Here is a 20,349-nt window from a genome sequence, read left to right as displayed (position 1 = left end):
AAGCCATTAGTTTTAAGATGGGTTTGTTATACAGCAAGGGCTAAGGCACACAGTTATTTTGAGTTTTCTGCTGCAAGCAGCCAACCTAATCCCAACTAATTCAAAATCACGGTTTGTCAATAACATTATTTATCTTTCTTTAAACAGTCAACAAATGTGATTAATGCTCCATCTTTACAAATGCTAAACCCGTCCCTTCCTACTGCTGGGCATTAGTTCATGTCTCTTCAGTACCTTCCCAGTGTGAATGAAACTTAAACATGTGACATGCCAGAAAAACATGAAGGTCGATAGGAAGATGTTATCCATGCATCTCACAGAGGCTGTTCTTTGTCAGCTACTCTACCCTGTCTACACTGCTGGTGTCATTTCCCCTTGCAGACACTTCAAATTGATCCTTGTGGTTTGCATTTATGGAGGCCTGCCATGAATTAGCCTAAGCTGGGATTATGCAAACACAGTCACTCCTCTTTCTTAGAAAAGGGTGCTGGTTCTGAGTGGGGTTCAGTGACGATCCTGTCCACAATGTGGAGTTCCTTGTACAAAGGAACAGGGGGAGGAGCTCCCTCACCCCCATATCTGGCTCCTCTTCCTGCCAGATCTAAGTAGGGAAGCCCTTGAATAAGGGACAGATCATCCATATGTGGGGACATTTTAAAATTCACATTATTCTAGATACTTACATAATAAGCAATACATGTGTTTTTGAGACAGGGTCTCACTCTGTTGTCAGGCTAGAGTGCCGTAGCAAGATCACGGCTCACTGCAGCCTTGACTTCCCAGGCTCAAGCAACTCTCCCACCTCAGCCTCCTGAATAGCTGGGACCACAGGTGCATGCCACCCTGCCCAGCTATTTTAATTTTTTTTTTTTAAGAGACGGGGTCTCACTATGTTGCCCTGGCTGGTCTTGAACTCCTAGGCTCAAGCAATCCCCCCGTGTCAGCCTCCCAAAGAGCTGGGATTACAGGCACAAGCCACTGTGCCTGGCCAGAAATAAATGATTGCTATCAGATGCTGATATCCAAGCGTGCTGGTCATAATGAGGTAAAAGAAGTAGAAGGAACCGTGGCCTGATGTGCAGGAGAAAGGTGTCCTGACAGCACAGGCCCAGGGAGGTGGGAGTATGAACAGTTACAAACAGACCCCATGCATGTCAGAAGGCTTGACCAGGCATCCAAACAGGGGGTACTCACCTTTATTAATTTCCTTTTCTACCTCTGAAGCATCCGAAATCTCAATCTCGTAGTCCTGGTAACTGACCTTGCCTCTCCACTTATCTTCGTTCACAAGTTTCTTCAGTTTCAGCACCAGCGGGCATCTGGTCACGATCCCTAGGAGGCCACGCCCACATCAGTGCTCCACTTTGCTCTTAAAAGACCTACATAGCGCCTTAGGCCCATGGTTCTCAAACTTTTATACAATCATATGGGGAGACATTTAAAACTGGAAACTTTCTGGTCTTACCCTCTGATATGCGGGGACATCGCACTGTGTCTGGGTGACCTCAAGAACATGCATTCTGAGTATGTAACCCAGGTGAGTTTTTGCTTACTAACGCTTGAAAGCCACCACTTTTGGCTTCCTGCCTCATCCCAGTGTTCTGCCATCAGCTCAGGTGGCAGACCACATTGGGAATCCCCCGAAACTCATCCGAACATCTTCCATTATCCCCCCAGCATACACACTCTACCCCCATTAGGAAAGCATCCTGCTGCTACCAGGCCACCTTACAACAGTCCTCCTACTGTAAACTCCTTCCATATTCTTCCTACCACACCTGATCTGTATTGCAAGACCCGTCCCAGGCCTGAACTCTTTGAGACCTCACTGATATAGTTCTGAACTGGGGGACCCAAATGTGTTTATTCAGATTCTCCTCAAACTGTAGATTACATATGACTTATGTGAAAAAAATGTGCAATGAGATAGCGTTATGAAATGGTGTTCCCTCCAAATTCCTATGTTGAAGCCCTAACCCCTAATGGGACTGTATTTGAAGATAAGGCCTTTAAAGAGGCAATTAAGGTTAAATGAGGTCATTAGGGTAGGCCCCAATCCAATATGACTGGTGCCCTTATGAAGAAGGGGAAGAGACAGCAGAGATGCTTGTGTGTGGAAGGAAGGCCGCATGGGGGAGCGGTGAGGAGGTGGCCATCTGCAAGCCATGGAGAAAGGCCTCAGGAGAAGCTAAACCCTGATTTTGGACTTCCAGTCTCCAGAACTGTGAGAAAATAAACTTTTGTTGTATAAGCCACCCTGTCTGTGGTATTTTGTTATGGCAGCCTGAGCAGACTAACACAGAATGTAAGTTCTTACCGCTGCCTCTGGGAAGGGCAACTCCTGACAGTGCCTCCAACACGGAGCTCTTGCCCGAGCTCTGGTCCCCGATGACGGCGATGGCTGGCAGGGCCAGGTCCTGCTCCACACCTAGAGCCCGCAGGGAGTCAATGAGGTCGATGCAGGGGCGCACCTTCTCCTCATACTGGCTGCACAGGTTGTTCTCAGCCACCTGGAGGAAACAAAAATGGAGAATTCTTCATGGCCTGCAAATCATGCTCATGATATGGTTTGGTTCTGTGTCCCTACCCAAATCTCATCTCGAATTGTAATCCCCATAATCCCTACGTGTCAAGGGAGAGACCAGGTGGAGGTAATTGGATTGTGGGGGAGGTTTCCCCCATGCTGTTCTCATGATAGTGAGTTTTCATGAGGTCTGATGGTTTTATAAGTGTTTGGCAAGTTCCTCCTTCAGTCATTCTCTCTCCTGCCACCTTGTGAAGAGATGCCTTCCTCCATGATTGTAAGTTTCCTGAGGCCTCCCCAGCCATGTGGACTGTGAGTCAATTAAACCTCTTTTCTTTATAAATTACCTAGTTTCAGGCAGTTCTTTATAGCAGTGTGAGAATGAACCAATACACTCCATTAAAGACGGCCAACTTCAATAAGTCTAATACACAGGTTACTGGAATCCCCAAAAGAGAATGGAAGAGAGACAGAAAAAAATATTTGAAGAAATAATACATACAATTCCCTCAAACTTAATGAAAACCATAAACCCAAAGATCCCAGAAACTCAACAGACATTAAGCACAGCAAACATAAACATCATCAAGCCATAAGAGGGTCAAATTGCTCAAAACCAGTAATAAAGAGAAAATGTTAGGAGCAGCCAGAGAATGATACAGTGTGAGCAGAGGGACACAAATGAGAAATCTGCTGTCAATCTTATCAGAAGCAATAACAAGCGAGAAGACAGTGAAGCAGTATTTTTAAAGTACTGAAAAACACCATCAATCTAGAATTCTATACCCAGCAAAAATAACTTTTAAAAATGAAGGCAAAACAAAGACTTTTTTAGCCATTCAAAAGCTTAACTAATTCATTACCAGCAGACCTGCACTACAGGAAATGTTAAAGAAGTTCTTTAGGTAGAAGGAAAATGATACTGAATGGAAATCTGGATCTATACAAAGGAGTCTATACTAGAAGGGGTAACTACTACACTTTTTTGTATTCCTTTGCTATCTTTATTTAAAAGATAATTGAATGTTTGAACATCAATAATAACAATGTATTGTGGGGTTTATGATGTATGTAAAAGATGCATGATAGAAATAGTATGAAGGCTCAGAGCAGAGAGATGGAAATACACTATTCTAAGGTTCTCGCACTATACATGAAGTGACAGACTATCACTTGAAGGTTGACTTATTAAGTTAAAGATATATACTAAAAACACCAAGAGTTATACTTAATAAGACAACAAAGGAGACATGATGGAATCATAAAAAATAATCCAAGAGAAGGCAGAAAAAGACGAAAGGGGGAACGAAGAACAGACGGGACAAATAGAAAACAAATAGCAAGATGATATTCTCAAATCTAATTATATTACCAGTCACATTAAATAGAAATGATCTAAATATTCTTAGTCAAAATGACTTTGAAAAAGAAGAACAAAGTCAGAGGACTAGCATTACCTAATTTCCATAATTACTATAAAACTAAAGTAATCAAAATAGTGAAGTACTTGCATAAAAACAGAGAAAGCAGCAGACTTCACACTCGGTCCTGCCTACCTACCAGCAGCTGGGTGCAATTTTCCTAAAGTGGGCTGATTGAGGTTCAGGAAGAAAATATGAGAAAATCATTTTGTCTTTTACCTCTTTCTAATGACTATTTTTGTGCATGCTTCATCATAGACAGACGTTTTTACTAGAATAGCTTCTTTATAACAGGACAAGAAGCTATTCATATTTGGGGTTAGAAGATTGTTTGTTGCAGGGGCTACCCTACACATTGTAGGAGGTTTAGCCAAATACCTGGCCTCTATTCACTATTCACCCTGAGTTGTGACAACCAAGATGTCTCTAGACCTGGCCACAAGTTCCAGGGAGCAAAATGGGCCCTGACTGAGAAAGAACCACAGCCTTACCAAATGCATGAATACAGTTGGTAGCCTCGGTCTTAGTTCACCTTATAACTTTTTGTTTGTTTTCATTTATTTATACTATCTATTTACAAAAGTGTGTCAAACATAATAAAGCAAATATGCATGTACCAACCACTTGGGTTAAGAACACAAACACTCCCAGTACTTAGGACATTGCACACACCTCCCTGGGTCAACTCCTTCACCTCCAGAGGGTCCCTCTATCCTGAGGCTTGCAATCATCACATCCTTGCTTTTCTTTATAGTTTTGCCACCTATATGTTTTTCCCACAATGGTATATTGCCTATTGCTGCCTGTTGGGGAATTTTACGTAAGTGGAATCATTTTGTATATTTCCTGTAACTTGATTCTTTGGTTCAACGTTGTTCATTTGATGCAGCCATTTTGATACCTGGAACTCTAGTTCATTCCTCTTTACTACTGTATAGAATTCTGCTACATGAACATACCACACTCCCAGTATCCATTCCACCATGACAGGCACGTAGACAGGGTCTGAGTTTTGCTGTTATAAACAGTGCTGCTATGCATGTGGCTCCCAGGGGGATGTGCAAGGGTTTACACATGGTCCTCAAACTCCAGCACACAGCAGAATCACCTGGAGAGCCTGGTAAAGCACAGGGGGTGGGCCCTGCCCCAGAGTGTCCAATTCACCAGGTCTAAGAGTGGGAGGAGGGGCTGGTCATTTGCATTTCAGTCAACTTCCCAGGTGATGCTAATGGGCTGGGCTGGGGGCCACACTTTGAGAACCACAGTCTATCCCCAGAAGTGGAACTGCCAGATCACGAGACACACTCTGTTCTCCTTGACTGGAAAAGGCCAAGCTGCTTCCAAAGCACGCAAGTATGAGTGGGTGAGAGTTCCTCCTGCCCCATACCCTGACATAATTACATCTCTTACAGCCAGACAAGAGACGCACCAGGGACGGAAATGCAGAAAAATGTAAACGGTGGTATCAGGGTGGTGGAAAGGTGGTGGTCCTCTGTATTTTTCTAAACGCTTCAATGTTTTTTGAATATTGTTTGAAAAATTGTTTAACATTGCCTAGGAAAACAGAGCCAGCCTGAAACAGACCAGTGATCCACGGTAATAAGAAACTGAGCACTCTGAGTACCTGGACACTCCCTGCACTTTGCTCTCAGCCATATAAAGCAAAGACCATTATTCTCATTTTAGATATGGAAAACCAGGCTTATAACAGGAGGAATAACTACCCACAATCACACAGCTGAGAGTGTCAGCGTCGGGACCAACTGAGGTTGGACTGATTCCAGGGGCCATGATTGGTTCCCACCAAAAATATGTCTTGATTCTGGGCAAAAAATTCACCACGTGGCTTCCCTACAAAGATAATATCTTAATGATGCCCCAGGGTTTGTAGCTTGAGACTGAATCATGATGTGGGCAGGAAAAACAAACCTAGTGCTCCTTGAACCCAGGGCCTGGGCCAGTTCCTTCTAGTATAGATGAGCTGAACCCATCGACAGCTCAGCCAGTGTCCCCAACCCCAGCAGCACCTCCACCCACGGTGAGCTAAGGCAACGAGTCTATACATGGTTGTCAGCTGGCAAGTAGAGGGTCAGGATCTGCGTCCTGGCACAGGAGAGGCGAGAGAGCAGGCATATCTGGGCAGCAGTAGCACCGCTGTAGAAAAGGGCAGCCTCGAATGGGCATGGCTCATGTCACATGGATAGCGACTTTCAGAGAGCAACTTACCGAGCCTGGATTTTTCTGGGCCACAGTAGCATCTCCATTCAGTAATAGAGGGTGGGATGCAGCAGCTGGATCAGCTTTTGCGATGTCCACTTCGGAAACAACCATCTTCCTTCTTTGCAAAGTAAGCTTAAAATAAAGCAGATGCCTATTGAACAGATAAGCAGCTGGGTGCATTCAACCATGGAACCAAACCCACCACCAGAACGGAAGGCCCCTGGAGGTGGGGACTCTGACTAGTTGTTCATGGTGATGTCCCCAGAGCGTAGAAGAGTGCCTGGGACACAGTGTGTGCTCACTGGCTTTTTATTCACGGAAAGAGAAACAGAGTGACCCAAAGAAGCCAAGGTCAGATAAAGACAAACGCTGCCTCCCTGCTCAAGGCGCTTCAAGAATATCCCTCCAGGCCGGGCCCCGGGGCTCACGCCTGTAATCTCAGCACTTTGGGAGGCTGAGGCAGGTAGATCATGAGGTCAGGAGTTCAATACCACCCTGGCCAAGATGGTAAAACTTGTCTCTACTAAAAATACAAAAAAATTAGCCAGGCATGGTGGCGGGCACCTGTAATCCCAACTACTCAGGAGGCTGAGGCAAAGAATTGCTTGAACCTGGCAGGCAGAGGATGCAGTCAGCTGAGATCACGCCACTGCACCCCAGTCTGGGCAACAGAGCAAGACTCTGTCTCAAAAAAAAAAAATAGAATATGCCTCTGTTCCCCAAAATATTTTCTAAAACTATCTCCTGTCATAATTTTAGGTTGAACTTCAAAAACGTTTTCAGTATAAATTTGAATAGTTGCAAAGTATACAACTTCTGATGCAGTTGTAATACAATTAAAAAGTTTACATTTAAAGGCTGGGCACAGTAGCTCACGCCTGTATCCCACCCAGCACTTTGGGAGACCAAGGTGAGTGGATCACCTGAGGTCAGGAGTTCGAAGCGAGCTTGGCCAACATAGTGAAACCCCATCTCTACTAAATATACAAAAATTAGCTGGAAGTGGTGGTGTGTGTTTGTAGTCCCAGCTACTTGGGAGGCTGAGGCAGGAGAATCACTTGAACCTGGGAGGTGAAGGTTGCAGTGAGCCGAGATCGCACCACTGCACTCCAGCCTGGGCGACAGAGCGAGACCCCGTCTTAAAAACAACAACAAACAAAAACTTTACATTTAAAAATAAAATTGTTATAGAACTGTTTCCAATGTAGCCAAGAGAATCCAAATATTACGGTAATTTGATACCCAAACCTTTAGTTTAAAAAACACGTGAGCTCTAAATCTTTTATGCTCTTTCTTTTGATCATCAATTTCATATTGTCATTCTTTTACTCCCACAAATGGGGGAAATGAAATGTCATTCATTTTACTCTTGAAAGCATGTAACTGACTGCCTTATACTTGTCTGCATTACAAATACACACGTATGTATTTGAAATTCATTTTTAAAATGTTGTAGGACAAGTGCCTAAATATGAAATTTTACAGTGTCTAATAATCTTGGATAAAAGTAACTGAAAATCTTTCTCCTATGACTCAAAATAAATGTTACAGAAAATAGCATGCACCAACTTACCTCTAATATACGTTCCTTCAAATAAAAGTAATGTCAACAAGTTAAATGGTATCACAGAGCTGTTCTCCTGCACCTCCTTGAAATCAAGCAAAGTGTACAAGTAAGACCCAAACCCGCGGAACACCCGAGAGTACCCACCCACCCAGTCCCATTCCCAAGTCTGAGAACCGGGCAAGTGCAGGAGGGGTGTGCTCTGAAGCCGATTCTGACTTCCCAGAATCCTTTTCCTATGTTTTGACTATTTTAACTATTTTAACAGATGAATAAAGCACAGAGCTTTGCTGCAAATCTGCTGCCTGGATCAATAATATGTAAGGATGCTCTCCTTGCTTCCCCTCGCAGGAATCTCCCCCGAGAGCCATGTGATCTTTGTCAGTACCATGAGGGTTGAAGGGACAGGTTGTTAAAACAAAACTCATCACCCCTGCCTGTCACCCTGCTCTGTAACATATCTAGCTGCACACCTGAGCCAATGCCATTTCTCCATCACACTGGAGTTCACAGAAACGCCCATGTCAGGAAGGTTGGGAAGTGCTGCCATGGGTTCATGCTGCCTTGGCTAAAGAACACGTCCCCAACACCAATACTTAAAACTATCCTTTTCTGTCTCCCTTCCCCGGGTTTATACACTTCCAGGGCAGGCATCCTTGCTCGATTTGGAAGGGAAGAAAGGGATGTATTTCTTTCTTTTTTTTTTTTTTTTTGAGACAGTCTCGCTTTGTCACCAGGCTGGAGAGCAGTGGCGCAATCTTGGCTCACTGCAACCTCCACCTCCCGGGTTCAAGCGATTATCCTGCCTCAGGCTCCCAAGTAGCTGGGACTACAGGTGCACGCCACCAGACCCGGCTAATTTTTTGTATTTATTTAGTAGAGATGGGGTCTCACAGTGTTAGCCAGGATGGTCTCAATTTCCTGACCTCGTAATCTGCCCACCTCTTTTGTCAGGTAGGATTGGGATGGTTATAAAAGGTAATCCATTGTAAACGGTACTTATGGAGTCTGACAATCTGGGAATTTATTCCCTAAAACTCCCATGCCTTTGGAAATACCTCATGTGCCCAGGGCATCCCAGGCTCGATATCAAAGACCACCACTTCATCTGCCTCTCAGGAGTACCAGTCTTCTGGGCTATGGTTGCCTCAGTTGGCCTTTCTGCAGCCAGATAAGGAGCATCATTGAGACCAGGACTTGTACCACATGACCACAGGTTCCACTCAATCAGCTGAAACAGGACTTGGTGAGTAGATTCCCTTCCCTAATTTGCTTCATAAAATGAGATTCTCTGAAAGCTAAACCTTATGGGTTTTGTCTGTAAACCATAAACGTTTGTACCTTTCCCTGATCATTCGGAACATCAGTTTGGATTTCAGGGGCAGGGCAATCTCGGGAGTTCAAACCGGTTTCTTACTCCTCCATGGAACTTGGCATCCAGCTGCAGTCTTCAAACTGAACTGAGTGCAGGCACCAGTTCCGGCCTTGGAAGAGCCAAGAGGTGGCGACTCCTAGCTCTCCATCCCAAATTGCTCCTAAAATGTCTTGGCTGCACCCTGTGTTTGGAGAGGAGGCTGCAGGGTTCCAGCCCTCCATCCACTCGCTACTGCACAGCCCCACTGGTCAGAGCCTGAGATGTTAGGTGGGCATGGATGGGGTTATGCACCAGGCTCTTCTCACATCCTGAGCAACTGCCCCTGTGCAGGGGCTTCCTTCCGTCCCTGCCCAGGGCAGGTTTGTGCCCATGATATATAATAATGACTTGTGACCCTAATGTCTCAAAATGGAGGCACTCACTAGGTAGCATTAAGCCCATATTAAGTTTCTTTCTTTAGAAACAATAAACATACGTGTTTCTCACTTTCGCTCATAGTAAAGGGGTTTTTCTTCAAAGTGGTAAGCATGTGTGTGGTAGACTAAGGGGATGAGGGAACACTTGCTGTGGCCCAATGCCACCAGAGACCCCAGTGAATAAGGACCCAGTGGCACGCACACCTGTGGAGGATCGCAAAAGCGACAAGGGACTAGCAATGTCTGAAGCGTTTTCGGAATCTTGGCAGTGAGATTTCTGAAAGCTTATTCCTGACTTTGGCAGCTGGGCAGCCGAGGACGAGGTCCCTGGAGGAACAGATTTCCCTCCACCACCCAGCACTAGAGCGGGACTTCTGGACTCCCTGGAGTGGCTGTCAGTGGGCTGGCCTCCAGAGCCTCCACTGTGGGTCCTTACCCTATCACTCCCTTTAATCATTGTACTGTGAATGTCTGCTCAATTGTGTGTGTGAATCTCTCACAATAAATCCTGAATTTGAGAATCACTCATTGCCTGCTGGGTCACCCTGAAACCTTTTGGGAAAGTGAAAGTTAGCGCACAGGTGCAGGAAACCTGGTTAACATAACAACTAAAATGAACCTGACTGGGTGCAGTGGCTCGTGCCTGTAATCCCAGTACTTTGGGAAGCCAAGGCGGGTGGATCATTTGAGGCCAGGAGTTTGAAACCAGCCTGGCCAATATGGTGAAATGCTGTCTCTACTAAACACATACAAATTAGCCAGGTGTGGTGATGTGTGCCTGTAATCCCAGCTACTCAGGAGACTGAGGCACCAGAATCGCTTGAACCTGGGAGGCGGGGGTTGCAGTGAGCTGAGATGGCGCCACTGCACTCCAGCCTGGGCGACAGAGTGAGACCTTGTCTCAAAAAAAAGAAAGAAAGAAAAGAAAGAACCCAACGGCCCACTTCATTTCTGCCTTACCTTGGAATGGTGGCTGGATGGCGGCGTTCTTCACTCCAGATTTCAGGGAGTGGGAGTCTTCCTGTAGCCTCCGACCCAGAACCGATCTCCTCGCAGTGTGGCCACAGAATTCCTGCAGTGAGGGTAAAGGTGGCATCCAGGGTTGTCAGGGGGTTCTCTCCTTGTGGTGAAGCTTCCTCAGCTCAGACCCCATAGAGGAGCAGGGATGGGAGGTAGGATTCAGCCCCCTTCCTCTCCCAAAACTCCTAATAAGGACCACCTACTGCCTACGTTCTAGGAAATGCCTAAGATGGAAGAGGCTACACTTTCCCAACATAATCCAGTCTAGTTTTTTCTTTTTTTATAAGCTTTTAAGTTCTGGGGTACATGTGCAGAACGTGCAGGTTTGTTACATAGGTATACATGTGCCAATTCAGTCTAGTTTTAAAACTAACTCTTGCAGGACTGACATTCACCTTTTCTTCTGAAAGCGTTTTTCCCCCCAAACCCTGCTGGTATTTAAATTTGTTATGAATAAAAGAGAGAACATCTTGCCCTTTAGACCAAATGCACTGCTACCTACCAAAGCCCCTGAGCTGGGTGAGCAGGTGGGCGGCAAGGGCGCGAGGGAGGCGTGTCCACCGTGACACTGGGATTCCTGGCCGGCAACTGCGGTCCAAGGCTGAAAGATGACACAGCCATTTTAGGAGCCCTTTGGGACTGACACCGGTGGTGGAGGTAGAGGCGCGGTTAGCATCACTGGACTCTACTTCCCAGTAACAAACGTGATTTAAAATTTAACCAAATAACTTGGGCCATCCCAATTGCCCAGCTCGGCAGCACCTGCTGTGAGTGTTGGTGGGATGGGAGCGCAGGTCTCAGCTGTGCCCGGGCTCCTTCTGCCACCCCCGGGACTGTCCTGCCTCCCTTCGTCCACCGCACCCACTCCACGATCCCGGCCAACTACGATGGACCCCGAGGGTGCGTCAGCCCCACGCGCCGGGGAGGCCCCAGGCATGGCATCCACTGGGGCGGTGGGGGGGAACAGCGGGCAGGGGTCTTCCCGCGCATGCCCCATCTCGGCCCAGCTCGGAACCCCCTTTATTCAGCAGGATCGGCGAGAACTCCTTGAACCTTCCCTCCCCAGCGACCTCCGCAGTCTGACTTGGGTTTGCTTTCGCGCGTTCCCAGGAAATAGAAGTCGACGGAAAGCAGTGGTCGGCGTTCGGGTGGGCTCGTGGCCCGCGCAGCCGTGGATCTGAAACTTTCCCGGCGCCCTTCCCCGCTTACTAGAGTCCCTCGGAGACCTCCCCCGAGCCCCGTCCCCCACCCCTTCCCAACCTCTCCTGCAGGAAGGCCGCGGGTTAGGGGGATGTTTCTGATGCGTCATCAGGAGCCTGGGCAGCCTGGTGGGAACCAGAATCAGGCGTGCTCCGAGCCCGCCCATCAGCGCCCTTGCTATGATTATGATTATTATTATTGTTAGTTACTAGCAGCCGAGAAGGTGCCCCCGTCGTGCCCGTGCTCCGGAGCGCTAGTCTCCGCCACGAACGCCGCTCTCCCAATGCCCTTCTCCGCGCTCCTAGCGCGGTTACTGGGCGCTGCCCCCAGAAGCGACACTCACCGGTCCCTGCGCAGTGCTGGAGTGCGGCCTCCGCTCTCGCTTCGCCTCTTTCACCCCGCGCCCAGCCCCGCCCCGCGCCGCGAAGAAATGAAACTCACAGACCCTGTGCTGAGGGCGGCTCCGGGCGCAGAAACGAAACCTAGCTCCTGGCCCCGCACCTGCAGCACTTGCCTCGCGGGAACTCGCGGGAGACGCAGGTTCTCGGGCCCGAACCCAGGCCTGCTGAATCAGATGCTCGTTTCATCAGGCCCGTCTGAGGATCAAGGTGCTCCGGAGGCTCCCTAATGGCCCGGAGTCATCCAAGCCTGCACGTATCCTTGAACCTAGGCATGTCCTTCCCCCCGTCGGTTTTGAAAACAGATGCATTGGTAATTGGGGGTCTTCAGTTCCCTCCCAGGGCTCACTGGGATGATCCCAGCACCAGCAGGGACTCCCAGGCATTGTGTGCCAATGGCTGCAGAGCCCCTCTTGTCCCGAACTCCGTCCAGCACTCCCACCCCTAACCAGGCACACCCATACCATCTTCCTCCTTTCCCGTTTCCCCTTGCCCACTTCTAGGCCTCCCTGGAGTCTGGCTCATCTGGCCTCTCCAGGGTGGAAACGGGTGTGTGGAAGGAAAATAAAATAAAATAAATAAAATAGTAATAATAAAGCTTAAAATAATAAACATAACATAGGTAATAGTTGTCAGGCCAGGCCATCGCATCCCAGGCCAGGCCATCGCATCCCCTGTGACTTGCAGGTATACATCCAGATGGCCTAAAGTAACTGAAGATCCACAAAAGAAGTAAAAACAGCCTTAACTGATGACATTCCACCATTGTGATTTGTTCCTGCCCCACCCTAACTGATCAATGTACTTTGTAATCTTCCCCACCCTTAAGAAGGTTATTTGTAATTCTCCCCACCCTTGAGAATGTACTTTGTGAGATTCACCCCTGCCCACCAGAGAACAACCCCCTTTGACTGTAATTTTCCATTACCTTCCCAAATCCTATAAAACGGCCCCACCCCTATCTCCCTTCGCTGACTCTCTTTTCGGACTCAGCCCGCCTGCACCCAGGTGAAATACACAGCCATGTTGCTCACACAAAGCCTGTTTGGTGGTCTCTTCACATGGACGCACATGAAAACAGTTAACATTTAGTATAAGCTATTTAGAAGTAACACATAGGCTAAAATTTTAAGCAGCCCCTCCCAGCATTGTAACAAGTTGCAGATGCAAGCTTATCTCAAAAGCTTATCACCTGCCTCGGGACCCCAGCCTCCAACCCTAGTCCAGCTTGGAGGATGACTAGTCAATATAACTGAATTGCCAGTTTCCTCAGAATTGTCACGGGTTAAGTAATTTACTGTCTTTGTCTGAAACCTGTATCCTACCTTGTTTTTCCCATCTCAAACGACATATAAGCTAGCTGCTTTCTTTGTTGGGGTTGGCAGCCATTTTGGGCATGAGCCTGCTGTTGGCCCGAATTAAAAGTTCTGTTTTGGTCTCCAAAGGTCTCTTTGTCTTCCTTGGCTAGAGTTTTACTGCAAAGGTGAAAGGGGTTGGGGAGGGCTGAGTCAAGCAGACCCATGGGTGGTCCTCCCTTTGGGAGCTCCCATTCTCGGCTAACTGGCTGTGAGTGGGAGATGGCATTTCCCTTTGGGAGCGGTTGGCACCCCACCTCCATTCTCCTTAGCTCAGCTCACAGTCCCTTACAAGCCCCCGCTAAAGACTTCCATGATTAGGAAGGGTCACCCCCAACCAACCTCAAGGCCCAGAACCTGCCCCAGCTTTAGGTCCTGGGGTCAGGGGAAACCTGGATGGAATCAAATTCAATACTGCTGCACCTACAAGAGGGGGAGGAGCCCCCCAGCCAGCTCCCTGTGCTGAAATCTATTTTGCTTTGCAGGATCCACTCCTAGGGCTGGGCAACCCCATCCAAGGGGTTCTTCATCCAAGGGGTTCATCCAAGGGGAACACAAGTTCTCCCAGGAATTAGCAATGACCTCACTTTAACACACACACACACACACACACACACACACACACACTCAACCCCTCTGGGCCTTTTACTTCCTAGTCAAGAACCCAGGCAACAGCACATCCTGGGGGACTGTGAGCAGGCTGGGCTGATGCTTTCTGAAGCAGGAACAGTGCCTTGGGAACGCAGGGTAGGTGTGAGCAGAGCTGGCACTCATGTGAACAGAGACTTCACTCTGGGTGATGCTGCTGCTGTTTCCAACAGCGGGAGGCTTCCCTAAGGGCCCTTGTTCACGAACAAAATCAGAAAGAGCTGCAGGCAACTGATAACCAGATAGAGGCACAACCTCAGCCAGGGCAGGACTCGGAAGGGCAGTGAGGCGCCCTGCCCAGGAAACACAGCACACACAGCTCACTCCCAGTTGGTGCAATGCCTCCTTAAGTTTTAACGCCCTAGGCACTTCCCTTGTCCACCGCAGTCCTTCCCTGGCCTTAGATTTTGGTGCTTCATTGCCTCTAATATGCATATGATATGGCAGGGCCTTGGGGAGTATAGGTGGTTGTTTTGGGGTGTAATTCAGCAGTCAGTCATACAATAATAGCTCCTGTCTACTGAGCATGTAGGATGTGTTAGGTGTCAGTGAGAGACGGGACGAGCTGGATGTCCCAGGCCGACTAAGAATCCCTAAGCCTAGCTGGGAAGGTGACCACATCCACCTTTAAACACAGGGCTTGCAACTTAGCTCACACCCGACCAATCAGGTAGTAAAGAGAGCTCACTAAAATACTAATTAGGCAAAAACAGGAAGTAAAGAAATAGCCAATCATCTATTGCCTGAGAGCACAGGGGGAGGGACAGTGATTGAGACAGAAACCCAGGCATTCGACCCAGCAATGGCAACCCCCTTTGGGTTCCCTCCCTTTGTATGGGACGTCTGTTTTCACTCTGTTAAATCTTGCAACTGCACACTCTTCTGGTCCGTGTTTGTTATGGCTGGAGCTGAGCTTTCGCTTGCCATCCACCACTGCCATTTGCTGTCTGCTGTTGTTTGCCGCCATCACAGACCCACCACTGATGTCCACCCCTCTGGATCCGGCAGTGTGTCCGCTGTGCTCCTGATCCAGCGAGGCACCCATTGCCGCTCCCATTCGGGCTAAAGGCTCGCCATTGTTCCCGCATGTCTAAGTGCCTGGGTTCGTCCTAATGAGAACACTCACCACATGCCCCAAGATTCCATTCCTTGGAATCTGTGAGGCCAAGAACCCCAGGTCAGAGAACAAGAGGCTTGCCGCCATCTTGGAAGTGGCCCGCCACCCTCTTGGGAGCTCTAAAAACAAGGACCGCTCGGTAACATCAGCTAGAGGGACTCGTGTGCAATCACTCACCTTAACAGCCACCCTCCCAGAGGAGTAGGATTATCACACCATGTTCTCCATGAGAAGACCGAGGCCTAAGGAGCTGGGTTCCATATTGGTAGAGCTATGGTTCCAATCCAGGTGATCATTCTCCAAACCTGCGCTCTTCAGCACCTCCTCGCTATGCTGAAATCAAGAGGCAGCTTCTGTACTTAAGAAGCTCACAACCTCCCACCTGAATTGCAGAGGATGTGTGCTCTATTAAACGAACAGCAGTTACTCTTTTTTTTTTCCTACCAGATAAGTTTCACACTCTTATACTCTGATAATGGCCCTCTCTTCTTCCAGGCAACTTCTGATCCAGTCTCAGTTACCCCATTGCCATCCCTGAACTCAGGACCCAGGTCACACTCAGAGGCTTTGTTGATGCCTGTCCCTCTGCCAGGCTGCCCTCTGTCCACAGGCTCAAAGGGAAATTCATCTCCCCTGCCTGAAGTGAAGGAGTAAGAGAATGGCTACTCCACAGAGCAACCCTGAGGGCTGCTGGTTGCCCATTTTTGTGGTTATTCTTGATGATATGCTAAACACGGGGTGGATTATTCATGCCTCCCCGTTTTAGACATACATGTAGGGTAACTTCCTGACATTGCCATGGCATTTGTAAACTGTCATGCGCTGGTGGGAGTGTAAAAATGAGGACAACCACAGGTCACTCTCGTGGCCATCTTGGTTGTGGTGAGTTTTAACCAGCTTCTTTATTGCAACCTGTTTTATGAGCAAGGTCTTTATGACCTTTATGACCTTGTGCTGACCTCCTATCTCACCCTGTGACTTAGAATGCCTTACCCGTCTGGGAATGCAGCCCAGTAGGTATCAGCCTCGTTTTACCAGCTCCTATTTAAGATGGAGTTGCTGTGGCATGCACCCGGTGTGGAGTTGCTCTGGGTGTACCTCTGACAACAGGGTTCTGTTTGGGAAAAAGAATGGCAGCGTTGATGGCTCAGTTCCCAGGCTCGATGTTTCCCTTAGCATAAGGAGTTTGGGGGTCCCGAGATATTTTCTTTTGCAACCTGTCCTGCTCCAGGCCCAGGTGGACTTAGGTGCCTGTGGGGAAAAGCAAGAGAGATCAGATTGTTACTGTGTCTGTGTAGAAAGAAGTAGACATAGGAGACTCCATTTTGTTCTGTACTAAGAAAAATTCTTCTGCCTTGGGATGCTGTTAATCTATAACCTTACCCCCAACCCCATGCTCTCTGAAACATGTGCTGTGTCCACTCAGGGTTAAATGGATTAAGGGCGGTGCAAGATGTGCTTTGTTAAACAGATGCTTGAAGGCAGCATGCTCCTTAAGAGTCATCACCACGCCCTAATCTCAAGTACCCAGGGACACAAACACTGCGGAAGGCCGCAGGGACCTCTGCCTAGGAAAGCCAGGTATTGTCCAAGGTTTCTCCCCATGTGATAGTCTGAAATACGGCCTCGTGGGAAGGGAAAGACCTGACCGTCCCCCAGTCCGACACCCATAAAGGGTCTGTGCTGAGGAGGATTAATATAAGAGGAAGGCATGCCTCTTGCAGTTGAGACAAGAGGAAGGCATCTGTCTCCTGCCCGTCCCTGGGCAATGGAATGTCTCGGTATAAAACCCGATTGTACGTTCCATCTACTGAGATAGGGAAAAACCACTTTAAGGCTGGAGGTGGGACATGCAGGCAGCAATACTGCTTTGTAAAGCATTGAGACGTTTATGTGTATGCATATCTAAAAGCACAGCACTTGATTCTTTACCCTGTCTATGATGCAAAGACCTTTGTTCACGTGTTTGTCTGCTGACTCTCTCCCCACTATTGTCTTGTGACCCTGACACATCCCCCTCTCGGAGAAACACCCACAAATGATCAATAAATACTAAGGGAACTCAGAGGCTGGCGGGATCCTCCATATGCTGAACGCTGGTTCCCTGGGTCCCCTTATTTCTTTCTCTATACTTTGTCTCTGTGTCTTTTTCTTTTCCAAGTCTCTCCTTCCACCTAACGAGAAACACCCACAGGTGTGGAGGGGCAACCCACCCCTTCAGGTGCCTGACACCACAGGCTCCTGGGCGGGCAGGGCCCAGTGGAGCCTGACCTTGTGGCACTGGCCTGGCCTCTGCTACCAGGCTGAGGACCGGGTCAACCGGCAACCCCAGGCCCACGCTGGGTGCCGCTGCACTTGGGATCCGGGCACAGCGTGGTTCGGTGCTTCTGGAATGAATGGGGAATCGGAAGGCCGGCCCTGGTCCTGCAAACACGGGCCTCAGGATCCTGCACTGGGCTTACTTCTCCCTGCGCTCTCCGCCCCCACCGCGAATTTCCCGGACAATTCAGTTTCGGTTTCATTTCTGCTCGCTGGTTTCCAGAAAGGAAAAGTCAAATTGCATGACTTCAGACTTCAGAATCCAGGGGGCGGGGAAGGGGGCAGGGAAGAAGGGGGCGGTGCCACGACGAGGGGGCAGTGTTACTCACATACACCGCTAGCACCTCCCCCAGCCTGGACCCGGTTCTGCTGGGCCGGGGAGGCGGGTGGTCGCGGAACGGCGGAGCATCCCACAACCTGCCCATCCTCCCGGCTGCATTTCCTGCAAGTCCGTCCGCCTGCCCGCGCCCGCGCCCGCGCCCCCGCCCCCACCCTTGCCCGCTTTGTCCTGCCTGGGCGCGAGTAAAGGGACTGGTTTCCTTTGCCTCGTTTCGTTTCCTCTTCTGTGCGTGTGGTATAGACCCGTGCTTCTCAAAGGGTGGTTCCTGGAACAGCAGCATTGGCTTCACCTGGGAAATTATTAGAAATGAACGGTCCGGGGCCATCCCAAGACCCCTGCATTACCACCTGTATTTTAAGGGCCTTCCTCAGGTGATCCCTTGGCAACTGGGCACGAGACTGCTGGCGTCTGACGTGGTCGCTTTTGGTCCTCAAGGTCAAGGCCAGACTTTTCCTTCATCTCTGTCTGGGGCCCACCAGAGAGCCCTGCGGAGAGGAGCAGAAGCTGAAATCCTTTGATACTGGTGAGCTTTGGAGAGCCAAGCTGGGGGCTGCAGGACCTGGGTTCAGGCATTGTGTACAGGTGGCCCAGCCACTGAAGGAAAGCAAAATATTTTACCCCTAAAATCTTTTTTTTTTTTTTTTTTTGAGATGGAGTCTCACTCTTGTCATCCAGGCTGGAGTGCAGTGGGGCAATCTCGGCTTACTGCAACATTTACCTCCTGGGTTCAAGCGATTCTCCTGCCTCAGCCTCCTGAGTAGCTGGGACTACAGGCATGCGCCACCAAGCCCGGCTAGTTTTTGTATTTTTAGTAGATACAAGGTCTCACCATGTTGGCCAGGCTGGTCTTGAACTCCTGACTTCAGGTGATCCACACGCCTCGGCCTCCTAAAGTGCTGGGATTACAGGCATGAGCCACCGTGCCCGGCCCAAAATCTATTTCTTTCGCATACTTTGAGATGGCTGCTCAGAAAGCCAGCCCACAGAAGCACCCTGCGGAACTGTCTTACCTGGGGAAGGCTTGCATCTTAGAGGGTCTGCACTGAGGCGGTCAGGCTTGCTTGCTTTTCTTTCCCTTGTCCAGATCTAGGAAGGGAGAACTGACATGACATGACATGACATGACATGACATCCCCTCTCTTGCCCTCCTTTTCTCCCTCCGTCTCCTCCCTTCTTCACCTCTTCCCTTTCTTTCTCCACAAACACTTACTGGGCCCCATGCTGGCTTCTATGCTGGACATTTGTGATATGCAAATGAGTAAGACAAAGCCACTGCCCCTAAGGAGACAGGTGGGGGGCACAGGTGAGCAAGGAAGGAGTGAGCTACTAGGAGCTGGAGCTAAGTGCCACTCTTGGGGCTCATTCCAGAAGCTGGAAGTCCAGGAGAGAGACTTTGAGGGGGTCTTGGGAGCAGTGGCCAAGAGGAAAGTGTTCAGGAAGTACTCATGGAGGAAGCGAATAGGCCACTTCAAAAGCTCATTTTCCATTTCCCAATACACAGGAGTTATGGTGAAAAGTAGAACATGTTAATGCTTTCCTTGAGCTGGGCTTCCAGCTACTCTGGAGGCCAAGGTGGGAGGATGACTTGAGCCCAGGAGTTCGAGGGTGCAATGAGCTATGTTTGCACCACTGCACTCTAGCTTGGGCTACAGAGTAAGGCCCCAACTTAAAAAAAAATAAAAATAACAAAAACAAAACTTTCCTTGATCCTTGTTTGTGTCACAGATGTGAGGACAGCTAAGCCCTGAAAACTCAGCTCTGTGCTCTAGATTTCTGTACCCCACAGTGCCAGGCGCGTGCTAGGCATTCAGCACATGATCGAGGGGTGCTCCGGTGAGGTCGAGCATGAGGGCTCACAGTGATGACAGAATAGCTCAGCTAAGGGCCAGTGTCTTGCCCCCAGGGAGATCCAGAACTGATATTTCAGATTGTGGCCCTCTCTTCTTTATTCCTGCTCCTTCTACCTGAAATATAAGTGCCTAAAGGTGCCATCACCTCTCATAATAGAAGCCGGTACAAGAAGTATTTGGGGCTGGGCCTCTGCTGTTCCTCTCCAGACCCTCTGAGCAGCAAGGGAGCTGTATGGACAAGTTTGCTATTTCAGAGCATTCCCCAGTACTAACATGGGTGAATGTCCATGAAGTTTATCCAGTAGAAATTGGGTTTACCTAACCAGCTGCCAAGCAGCCACTATCAGAGGTGCTGCAGGTAAAGGTAGCCAGGCAGCCTTTCTCTGTTGTTCTTGAAAAAAAGAAAGGAACTTGTATCCGAAGAATGCAAGGCTTTTAAAATTATCAGGCCCAGAGAGACATTAAAATAAGACAGCAACCACTCCCTACTCCCCACTTTCAGCTGTGTGTTCATCTCTTGAAACCTCTTACTATTGCCACAGGTATTAATAGCTATGGATTAACCTAATAATGCCACACTGG

The 20,349-nt window shown here is 48.7% G+C and overlaps 1 protein-coding gene across 27 annotated transcripts in view, besides 4 other annotated features; it reads right to left on the bottom strand.

Annotated features, from left to right (window-relative positions):
• The window catches only part of MX1 (MX dynamin like GTPase 1), a 38,657-nt gene extending 20,868 nt beyond the window's left edge, over positions 1-17,789 (bottom strand). For 3 of the 27 annotated variants that reach the window (XM_017028352.2, NM_001438334.1, XM_047440776.1), the window contains exons 1-7: positions 11,950-12,108; positions 11,043-11,141; positions 10,481-10,592; positions 7,739-7,814; positions 6,172-6,297; positions 2,318-2,510; positions 1,195-1,332 (exon numbers count right to left, since the gene is read on the bottom strand). In XM_017028352.2, coding sequence (XP_016883841.1) covers positions 1,195-1,332; positions 2,318-2,510; positions 6,172-6,276 — 436 coding nt within the window. In that variant the 5' untranslated portion in view covers positions 6,277-6,297; positions 7,739-7,814; positions 10,481-10,592; positions 11,043-11,141; positions 11,950-12,108. Of the gene's footprint in view, positions 1-1,194; positions 1,333-2,317; positions 2,511-6,171; positions 6,317-7,738; positions 7,815-10,480; positions 10,593-11,042; positions 11,142-11,800; positions 12,109-15,435; positions 15,592-16,251; positions 16,510-17,471 lie in introns of those variants that run through there. The other 24 variants (XM_047440772.1, NM_001438335.1, XM_047440777.1 and 21 more) reach the window with 15 other exon arrangements.
• Positions 5,928-6,007: an enhancer, noted in NCBI's record as "active region_18479". NCBI's record gives its function as "activates an Ori minimal core promoter by ATAC-STARR-seq in GM12878 lymphoblastoid cells {active_cell/tissue: GM12878}" and the evidence as "EXISTENCE:reporter gene assay evidence [ECO:0000049][PMID:35858748]".
• Positions 6,018-6,077: an enhancer, noted in NCBI's record as "active region_18478". NCBI's record gives its function as "activates an Ori minimal core promoter by ATAC-STARR-seq in GM12878 lymphoblastoid cells {active_cell/tissue: GM12878}" and the evidence as "EXISTENCE:reporter gene assay evidence [ECO:0000049][PMID:35858748]".
• Positions 12,002-12,441: an enhancer, noted in NCBI's record as "active region_18477". NCBI's record gives its function as "activates an Ori minimal core promoter by ATAC-STARR-seq in GM12878 lymphoblastoid cells {active_cell/tissue: GM12878}" and the evidence as "EXISTENCE:reporter gene assay evidence [ECO:0000049][PMID:35858748]".
• Positions 17,824-18,103: a silencer, noted in NCBI's record as "silent region_13332". NCBI's record gives its function as "represses an Ori minimal core promoter by ATAC-STARR-seq in GM12878 lymphoblastoid cells {active_cell/tissue: GM12878}" and the evidence as "EXISTENCE:reporter gene assay evidence [ECO:0000049][PMID:35858748]".

Source organism: Homo sapiens, chromosome 21, assembly GCF_000001405.40.
Source record: "Homo sapiens chromosome 21, GRCh38.p14 Primary Assembly".
NCBI classification, from domain to species: domain Eukaryota; kingdom Metazoa; phylum Chordata; class Mammalia; order Primates; family Hominidae; genus Homo; species Homo sapiens.
Note: the sequence above shows the minus strand (reverse complement) of the source record. Positions and strands in the feature narration are given on the sequence as shown.